The sequence below is a fragment of the Homo sapiens genome, chromosome 10 (genome assembly GCF_000001405.40).
Source record: "Homo sapiens chromosome 10, GRCh38.p14 Primary Assembly".
NCBI classification, from domain to species: domain Eukaryota; kingdom Metazoa; phylum Chordata; class Mammalia; order Primates; family Hominidae; genus Homo; species Homo sapiens.
Genome location: NC_000010.11, coordinates 18,826,307 through 18,837,436, shown reverse-complemented (window position 1 = coordinate 18,837,436; position 11,130 = coordinate 18,826,307). Strand labels below are relative to the sequence as shown.

General features: G+C 36.9%; 1 long non-coding RNA gene across 3 annotated transcripts in view; it reads right to left on the bottom strand.

Moving 5' to 3' along the window:
* Positions 1 to 893: 893 nt before the first annotated feature.
* The window catches only part of LOC105376440 (uncharacterized), a 126,250-nt gene continuing 116,013 nt past the window's right edge, over positions 894 to 11,130 (bottom strand). For all 3 annotated transcript variants that reach the window (XR_930721.2, XR_930720.2, XR_930723.2), the window contains 2 exons: positions 1,205 to 1,267; positions 894 to 1,039 (listed from right to left, as the gene is read on the bottom strand). This is a non-coding gene — a long non-coding RNA (uncharacterized LOC105376440). The remainder of the gene's footprint in view (positions 1,040 to 1,204; positions 1,268 to 11,130) is intronic.

Here is an 11,130-nt window from a genome sequence, read left to right as displayed (position 1 = left end):
ATGAGAAGGAAATCCAGGTGGGAAAAAACTGGAGAAAACAGCCATATCCAAAAATGAACATCCTGTATTTGGGGGAAAAATGAACATAACAAATTCACTGAAGTCAAGGATATATAGGAGGTAGTAATAGAGAAAATGGGTTTGTATCTATGGGAAGGGGTCCAAATATAGTCTCTGAATATCCACAAAGAGTGGGAAATAGAGACTCATTGAAGGGTTGATGGGGCAAGAGAGGAGGGGATTTAAGACACGTATATAGTAGTCTGCAAGGAATTTTTCAGTTGCTTAGTCCTCATATACATAGGGCTGGTATATGTCATTTTTAAAGACCTGGAATGGCACATCTATTCAGCATCTATTTCTAGTAATTGTTCCATGTAATCTCTGAAGCAGCCCTGATACTTGATCCAGAGTAAAACTAGGAAGAGGACTCAAAATAAAAAAGCAAGGATGTATTTATCCCTTAGGCACTTTTCTTTTCTCTTTTGACACAGAGTCTCTCTCTGTCACCCAGGCTGGAGTACAGTGGCGCAATCTCAGCAATCTCATTGCAACCTCTGCCTCCTGGGTTCAGGAGATTCTCCTGTCTCACCTTCCCAAATAGCTGGGATTTCAGGCACACACCACCACTTCTAGCTCAATTTTTGTATTTTTAGTAGAGATGAGGTTTCATCATTTTGGCCAGGCTGGTCTTGAACTCCTGACCTCAGGTGATTCATCTGCCTCGGCCTCCTAAAGTGCTGGGATTACAGGCGTGAGCCACCGCACCTGGCCCCTTAAGCACTTTTGCTCTTTACATGGTATATAAACTCTTTACTTGATGTTATCTCCCATATCACTTCCGTCACCAACTGATTTAGTCATTCCAGACCACTATAACAAGATACTCTACATTGGGTGGCTTAAACAATAGAAGTTTATTTCTCATCGTTCTAGAAGCTGGGAAGTTCAAGACTGGAGTGCTGGCAGATTTGGTGTCTGGTGAGGGCCTTTTCCTGGTATGTCCTCACATGGCCTTTGCTTGGTGCATGCACAGAGACTGGGGGGTGAAAGGAGGTTCTTGTCATTTCCTCTTCTTCCAAGGGCACTAATCCCTCCATGAGGGCTCAACCCTCATGACCTAATTACTTTCCAATGCCCCAATTCCAAATACCATCACATTGGGGATTAGGGTTTCAACATACGAATTTCAGGGGACACTTACATTCAGTCTATAGCACCAACTAATGCTGTAATGGTGGCAACCAGTCCCCAGTACCTGCTGCACCTGCAAAACAGATCAAATTGGACTTTATCACTCCAACCTTTATGCTACACATTGGAAGAACATGTAGGCCTGAGCATGGGTTCCCCCAGAAGCAGAAGCTGATATAAGTATTGGAGTCCAAGTCTTTTATTTGCGGAGGGAAAGAACAACAGTTAGGGAGTGGAGAAGTCAGTGAAGGATGATGAGGCATTCAATAGAGACAGTTTCTAGAGCTCAATCCCACTGGAAAAGCCCTAGATTTAACCTGAGAAGGAAGGAACATGGTATATTTATCAGTCGTTGGTTGGGCAATGTCAATTCTCCTGCACTTTGGGCCAGTCATGGGCACAGGCAGAGGTGCATTCTTTAGCAGCAGAGAAAGTCCTCTGGAAGTCCTCCAGCAGGCCACAGTGTCTGGAAGTCTGATGGCAGGCACTAATGTAGTAAGGAAATAAGAGTGGAAAATATGAGTGGAGAACTGTATTAGTCCATTTCATGCTGCTGATAAAGACATACCCAAGACTTGGCCATTTACAAAAGAAAGAGGTTTAATAGACTTATAGTTTCATGTGGCTGAGGAGGCCTCACAATTATGGTGGAAGGCAAGGAGGAGCAAGCAAGTCACATCTTACATGGATGGCAGCAGGCAAAGAGAGAGAGCTTGTTCAGGGAAACTCCCCCTTATAGAACCATCAGATCTTGTGAGACTTACTCACTATCATGAGAACAGCACAGGAAAGACCTGCCCGCGTGACTCAATTACCTCCCACTGGGTCCCTCTCACAACATGTGGGAATTCAAGATGAGATTTGAGTGGAGACACAACCAAATCATATCAAGAACCAACAGCATGCTTGGGCTGGCCAATGACTAAGAGTCCAGGGATGATTTTAAGCAGCAAAGTTCTAGTTCTGCAGAAACTATAAAATGACCCAAACACAGGAATTGAGGAGAGATCGAAAGATTAAGGACACACCAGCAGAGCATAAGACTCTAGTTTTCCTTTCTTTGCTGTACTTTAGAAACCAGATATGAAACCCAAAATTCCTCCAGAAAGTAGCAAAGAGGGAATACTCAAGTAGGACTTGGTTATACTCTAGAAAAATTATAATAGTTGTAAAAAATGCCCTTTTAGATAAAAGTAAAAAAAAATACTGGTTAAAATAACAAGGGTAAGAATTATTCCTTTCACTTTTGACAAACCCAGGATGTAATCAATATGGTAAAGAATAAGTATGTAATCAATATGGTAAAGAATAAGTCAAACATTAAGATCAGAGTCTAACATCTTAATACTAGGCAAGAATCAGTAGAGGAAGCCATGCTTGGAAGACTCCATTGTGCTAAGAACTTCCACCGCTGTAACTTTTTCTTTCCCTCTAACAAACACCAATATAAGACTTACTATGTGACAGGCACTGTTCCATAGGTAAAACAAAATAAAATTAAAATAAACTAGAACTAAATAAAACAAAATAGAAAGAAAAATAAAACTCAATTCCTTCTCCTGTATCTATGAATTACTTACTACGATTTATCCCCATTTTACAGATAGAAGCATGAAGAGGTTAAGGAACATCCTGAAGCAAAATCTATCTCCAAAGTACATGGTTTTAACCATTATAGCCGTCTGCCCTCCTCCAAATGATAATTTGATAGATACTGTATATGGTTGTGCCTAAAATCCATATTACTAAGACAAGTTTTTGCCTTCTTATTACTATCGCTGGCCTATCATTAGGCTACAGAGGGAAAGTCAGGAGAGAAGAGCTGAGTCTGCTAGTCTAAGTGTAACAATCACATCATCTCTATCTCCCAAATGTTTGGTATACAGAAACAGGCTCAACTGGCTAAAGTAAGAGTAAAGTAACTGAGACTCACACTAGAGAATCTTGAATGCCAACCACAGGGTTCATCTTTATTATCCTGGAAACACAATCATAAAGAATTATTGAAGAATCTGAGCAAGAACTTACAAGCATGTACCTGTGGTCAGGTGTCAGACTGAGCAACACAAATAGTGGCTGTGTAACAGTCAATGTCAGGCAAGAGGGATTCCAGAAAAATCACAACTATCTGGAAAAGTCTACCTCCTCCTGAGGTCATGACATAATTGCTACTGTCATTCTATTCTTCTAAAATGCAAAATCCTATAAAGCAATAACAGTTAGGTTCACACTGAAGAAAAGACAGCTCAGAATTGTCATGTAAACATTCATCATCATAGACGCCAATTATGTTCTCCGGATCCTTGAATTCATTCTCAAAGCAGAGAGAAAAATGTTATTTTCTTTCAATAAGAATCAGCTGGAATGACAAACATTCTTTCCTCAAGGTTGGGTTCCAGCTAGACCCAGAAAGGTGTTCAACAGCTGGTTTCTCACATCTCCATTTGACAGCCAAAGACTTTTGGACAGTACTCACTTTGATATTAATGAGTTTGGGGATTGGTAGCTTGAGTTATGTGTCTCTAGTGATCTAATTTCTATAGGATCTCACCATTCACACTTATCTTCACATTTTGCTACCTGCAAACATATCCCAGAAGTGCTCTGCAGAGTTGACTGTCTCTCAGGATCCCTGTGGTTTTTTTCTATGCATGCCCAATTTCCAATGCCAGAAATGTTGCTTAATCGGTGTGGGCTAGAACCTGAGGATGTACATTTTTTCAGATACCGCAGGTGACTCTGATGCAAAGCAGGGTTGAGAACTACACCACAGCAGTAAAATGATAATGGTTGTTAACACTGTTTGCATTCCTGCATGTGCCATTCAGGGACTTGGCTAAAGGATTTAAGTGTCTTAACTCATTTTTATCTTCATTGCCACCCTCTGAGGTTGGGACTATTATTACTTCCATTGTTAAGAAATCTGAGGCAGAATTAAACTGGGTAACTTTCCCAAGGTAATATGGTGTATCCAGGATTTAATCCCAGGCAGTTTGCCGTAAATATATACACATGTTCCTTACACCAGCTAAGAAAAAGCAGTTATTTCTATAGCCCATGCAGTAGTTTAAGATCTTAATTCTTAAAGTCTTAAAGCTTAAATAATTTAACATTTAAATGAAATTGGCTTGAATTATCTGTATTATATTGCATATTTGAGATGTCTACACAGGGGCTGACAAGTGGTCAGTTCTGACTCCAAGGTGTGGCTTTCACCAAATTAGCTCAGTTCAAGCAGCATCCTATCTACTGCATTCACTTGCCCATGTTTCATTCATAAGGAAATAAAGAAAAAAAACTAAACTAAATGGTACGTTTTATAGGGTAACGTATAGCAAACTTCTTTACTGATTTCTTAGGTGAAACAGAGAGTTTATTACTTTTTAAGTGTAGCAAGATAACTTAAGATTGAATAAGGATTCCCTTTTATTAAAATTTCTCCAGGCACCTGACTAAGCTGGTTGCTCAGCCACACCCCATTGTCTTGTTTTCTCTCTCAGTTTCCTTCTGTCTTATCTAGTTTTTTGCTTTTCCATCACCCCTGCATTTCTCTCCATTCTGAAGTAAAGGCTGGGTGCAGTGGCTAACACCTGTAACCCTAGCACTTTGCAAGGCTGAGGCAGGCAGATCGCTTAAGCCCAGGAGTTTGAGGTCAGCCTAAGCAACATGATGAAAACCCGTCGCTCTAAACAAAGAGAAATACAAAAATTAACCAGATGTGGTGGCATGCACCTGTGGTCTCAGCTACTAGGGAGGCTGAGGTGGTCAGATCAATTGAGCCCAGGAGGTCAAGGCTGCAGTGAGCCAAGACTGTGACCCTGCACTCCAGCCTGGATGACAGAATGAGACCCTATCTCTAAAAATAAAAATAAAGACATTTAGCAATTGCATTGACTATCTGAGGTGTAGTCTTCAGCCTTAGTGGCCCACCATGAAATACTTACATTCAATTATAAGTGGCTTATCAAAGTATTTTCTTACATAAAGGTAGTGCTTTTCCCTGGATGATATTGTTTGTTTTGCTTGTTTTTAATCTTTAAGAATGTTTTCTTCACCAGGGACAGGGCCGTGTCTACCGTTTTACAAAATAAATATGAGATACAGTCCCTAATCAAAGGGTTGACAGTTTAGGTGGTGAGGTAAGACCATACGATTTGATTATGAATGACACAAGAAAAACTATAATGATAACAATATAAAATATACTAAACATCAGTTGGGATATATGACTGAATATAAATGAATGAAAAATGTAAAAACATTAAAAGTTGAATTAAGAAAAAAAGATGATTTAATAAGAAATGAGTACACACATAAGAGCCCTGGGAGTATTGTAAACTTGGAAATTCAGAGAAGAGAAAAAATAGAGTCCAGGGAAGTAAAAGAAAATATTACAGAGAAGAGGACACTTTGGCTAAGTAGGAATCAGAGGATCAGGAATATGAAGTGGAAGACGTTTGTATCTCACCCCAGATCAATTCAATCAGAATCTCCCCGGATGGGACCTGAAGCGTGATCTATAGTCCAAACCCTCCAAGTGATTCTAATACATACCCTTTTTAATCATCACTGTTTCATCTAGTGCCTCATGGTTCACCTACTGAGAAAAATGTCAGTCAGGGTAATGCAATTCATGACAAGGGATTATCTAATATGGGATAATTTGTCAAATTTTCTAATTGTCTTTACATTATAGACACAATAGGCTCAAAATACTGCATCTGGACAACATGGCAAAACTCCGTCTCCCCAAAAAAAAAATTTTTTTTAAAGTTTTTAAAGATCTAGTATATTCTAAATTATAACCAGAAGATGGGTTGGGAAATGCTCCTGAATTCTTATAACATTTTACTGTGTGTCATTGTGCTAGTTATACATTAGCAGCAGCAGCCTTGGAAGTGGGTACCTGTCAACTGCCTGTCAGATGGACAAAGCTTACCATGTAAGAGAAATACTGTAGAAGCACTACATGCTTCCAGCTTTCATGGACTGTGAATTGTTATTGGTAAAATACGGACAATAACCAAATCAATGTGATTCAAAATAATACTGGAATTTGTTTCCAGAACAAAATCAATAAGCTTCCAGAAGAAGGATTCCAGGAAAGACTTCCACTTACAGTTATAGAGGACTACCTGCAATCGGCTAGCTGTTGCTGAAAACAACTAGAAATCCTGGATATAAAAAATATTAACTAATTAATTTAAAACCTGAAGGCAATGTGCAACCAAAGTTTCAAGGACTTGACAGCTGACATCCCTGAGAGAAGGGAAGTACAGAACAGTAACTCCCAAATTCATCATATTTTTCCTCAAGTCATTGACTTTTTTAAAAAATTCTATTTTTTAATTGACACATAATAATGGTACACATTTATGGCATACATAGTGTATTTTTGATACATAAAATGTATAGCGATCAAATCAGGGTAACTGGCATAACCATCATTCAAATATTTACTATTTCTTTGCTTTGGGAACATCCAATAGCCTCTTCTAGCTATTTGAAAAAATATATATTATTAACTACAGCCATCCTTCAGTGTTATGGAACACTAGAACTTATTCCTCCTAACTAGCTGTAATTTTGTCTCCTTTAACAAATCTCTCCCTATGTCCCCTCTCCCCTCTCACTTCCCAGCCTCTAATATCGCTGTGCTACTTTTTACTTCCATGAGATCAACTTTCTTAGCTTTCACATATGAGTGAGAACATGCTGTATTTATCTTTCCATGATTGGCTTATGTCACTCAACGTAATGTCCTCCAATTCCATCCATGTTAGCAGGGATGACAGGAATGACAGGATTCCATTCTTTTTATAGCTGAATGGTATTCCACTGTGTATATATGTTATATTTTCTTTACCCATTAATCTGATATTGTATACCTGGGTTGATTTCAAATCTTGACTATTGTGAATAGTGCTGCAGTAAACACAGGGGTGCAAATATCTCTGATATACTGATTTCCTTTGCTCTGGACAAATATCCAGTAGTGGGATTGCTGGGTCACATGGTAGTTTTATTTATACACATAGATTTTTTTTTAAAGTGCTGGCTGACAGACTAAAAAGCCACACAGGAAGCAGCAACTCAAAGGCTGAAAAGGTGAGCAGAGTTCAGCAGGGAGTTCAGTGGTTCATGAGACTGAGAAAACAAAAATTGGAGAGGGAAGGAGCTTAGTAAACACTCCTAGCTTTCAGCTGGGACTCATGAAGGGCTATGCTATTGGAGAAAGGGCAACTAGATATAGAACAGCTCTTCTAGAAACTTAAATAGAGCTGCAAATCAACTTAATTCCCAAAGAGATTGAATTGTTCTTCTTCAAATTACCTGCATACAAGAAACAAAGGCAAATTCTCTGTGTGAGAACATAACATTGTGCAGATCCCCAAAACTGTTCTATAATTTTCACATACAACTACAAAAAATAGTCATTTCTGTAAACTAGGGAAAAAAATTTATCCTACACCATAATTATGAAGATTGTAGAAGTCTGTAAATTACCTGGTACACTGATGCTCAACAAATGAAAACTCTAAGAATGGGCAATAAGAATATATTTATAGAATATGTATTTTTAAAATACTTCCTCTTATTCTTTCTACAAGAGACACTGGGGAGCTGATTAATAACTTTGTGTTATATGAGACAAAGGTGTGCTGGCTTTATGATTAGACTAACACTAGCATTAGAAACTACAGACAGATACTTTCTCTTGTCAGCGCCTAAGCAAGAAACCAGAAGTCAGCAAAGACAGCAATTCTGCATGAATGAAGCGAGCACAGCTTGAAAAGCACTTAAGCTGCACTTTTCTAGCCATTGTCACCATGTCAAATCCCAAGCTGTTATGTTTATCATTAAATAAAATTTCTGCATATAACATCACAACCTAATGTTTCATAATTGAGGGAAACTACCCTTTCACTATGGGTGTTCCTTAACAACTAAAAATGGAAATGCATTATCCACACTTTTAAAGACTCTACATTGTACTGCACTTAGAATGTCAGAAAATAGGCCAGGTGCAGTGGCTCACACCCATAATCTCAACACTTTGGGAGGCTGAGGCGGGTGGATCACTTCAGGTCAGGAGTTGGAGAGCAGCCTGGGAAACATGGCAAAACCCCATCGCTACTAAAAATACAAAAATTAGCTGCGCATGGTGGTGTGCACCTGCAATCTCAGCTACTTAGGAGGCCTGAGGCAAGAGAATCGCTTGAACTCAGGAGCTGGAGGTTGCAGTGAGCCGAAATCACGCCACTGCACTCCAGCCTGGGTGACAAAGACTCTCTCTCTCAAAAAAAAAAAAAAAAAAGTCAGAATAGTGTGGACATTAGGAATTAAATGTACCTCGAATTGATTAAGTGCTTGAAAACATGAGTTCTCATTTTTATATCTTCAAGAATTGTGTTTTGGTGTTTATATACTAGTGGCTAAGACTATAAGGCATAAGAAACCTAAGTGCCAATAACAGCCGATGTAATACTAAATTTAGGTAAAATTAAGGTTAAATTTAGTAGAACTCTTGGCTTCAATTTAACTTGTGCCATTTAGTCAACAGATTTGAAATATCCAAATGCTACTTTCTAGGCCATATCCAAGAAATAACTATGCCCAGAATAACTATGTCCAAGATTTTAGAAATACCACAGCATAGAAAGTATATTGATGATATATAAGATGCCAAAAAAATTTGGATTAAAATGTTTTTATAAATAAACAACTGTTTACAACTATTATGCCACAAACACTGCATTGGTAGTGACACATTTGAGAGGAGGCACTAAAAAAGGTTGGAAAAATTATGGTTATTCAAGTCATATTTTTCTTACAGTTCTCACTCTGGAGCTCTAATAAGACATTCAAAGAAGTAAGATGTTCCTAAGTACAATAAAATTACTGTACTCTGTATGATAAATTTCTTTCCCCCAAAGGATAGAGAAAAATTGATAGATGCATGGAAAGTTCATGACTTCTGATGAGTGCCAATAACAGACAAAACATGGAATATAGAATAATAAGATAGAATAAAAAGGGAATGAAAATGGCATATATTGAGAGTTTCAAACAAGTATCAAACAGACAAGATTTTTTGATGACAGAAAAATGAAATACTAGATCCTTGATTTTTAAACAATTTTCAAAACCACTTCCACCTTAAAATGTATTTGGAGAATGGCAAACTAGACATAATAGCAGTTGAGTATTTCAGCAAGTGCACAACAATTTTTGGCTGAAGCACTCTTTTTAGTTTAAGAAAGATTCAGTTTATAATAGTAACAAAAACTAGCAAATACTTAAGAATTAACATGAGAATATTCAAGAGATATATAAACAAAGTTATTATATTTAAACCTTATTCATGGGCATAAGATGAGACCAGAACACAGAGAGAGGAACACCAGAACACCATGTTTTGGATTGAAGGGAAAAGTACCATAAGCCTATTTATTTTTCTTAAATAAATCTATCAAACCAATGTAATTTTAATCAAATGCAAACTTTCATTTTATAGAACTTTCCGAAGTTATTCTACATTCAATTGAAAAAGTAAATGGACAAAATAGGCAATAAAATCTTAAAGAAATAAAAAAGAATAAAGAATTATTCACTTGACTACTCAAATACCAAAACATAACAGAAAGTTTTGGAACCCCAAGGAACAGTGAAGTAGATAAATCACCCTAAACAGTGCAAAACAGACCTATGCACATACAAGGAATTCATATATAAGCAAGTGACATTTCAGATAATTAGGGAGGGTTGCATTAAAATAGTCAGCTATATACTTAAAAAACTAAAGACAGATCTCTATATCACTCATCTAGAAAAATAAATTCCTGCCATACTAAGGATCTAAATGTGCTGGCAGTGGTGGCTCACAACTGTAATCCCAGTACTTTGAGAGGCCGAGACAGGAAGATTGCTTGAGCCCATGAGTTCAGAAACAACCAGGGCAACACAGTGAGAACCTATCTCTACAATAAAAAAAAAAAATCTAATTAGTAAGTCATGATAGCGTGTACTTGTAATCCTAACTACTCAGGAGGCTGAGGTGGGAGGATTACATGAGCCCCAGGAGTTTGAGGCTGCAGTGAGCCATGATCTTGCAGCCACTGTATTGCAGCTTGAATGACAGTGACAACCTGACTCAAAAAAATAATAATAAATAAACATCTGAATGTAAACAATAAAAATATAAACTTTTAGAAGAAAATCTAGGAAATTATATTTTGATAGGAAAGGCCTTAAACAAAACTAAATCCCAATACCATAAAAATTTATAATTTGACTTTTAAAAAGCCAAATTTTGAATCACAAAAATCTCTTAACTATACTGTATAGAGAATACCTATAAATTATTTTTAAATAAATATAAATGTCCCTGGGATATATGAATAAGAAATTAACAGAAGAAATACAAATTTCAAATAAACATTTGAAATGATAAAATCATTAGGAAACATAGGAATTCAAATTTATCATCAGCCTAGCATAAATTTTAATAACTGATAAAATTTACTGTTGTCATGTCTTTATACTACTGGCAAGAATGTAAAATATCACAACCATTTTGGAGAACATTAAAATGTGCACAAACATAGATCCAGGTATGTCGCTGCTATAAATTTATCCCTCAGAAATACTTCAATATGTGCACAAAAGCATTTATGAAAGCATTGCTTATAATAATAAAAATTAAGATAACTTAAGTGACTCAATTTAAAAAATTGTATATATTATGATAATCTACTATGTGGAATTATATTTAGATGTTAAAAAGAAAATGGAATACCTATGTGTTCTAACATAAAACATTCTCCCAAAATATAAGTAAAATAATTGAGGTGGCACACCATATATATATTCAGATACCACTGTGTTTGAGAAATACAGACATATTATGCATACACATGTAAATTAAAAGAAAGC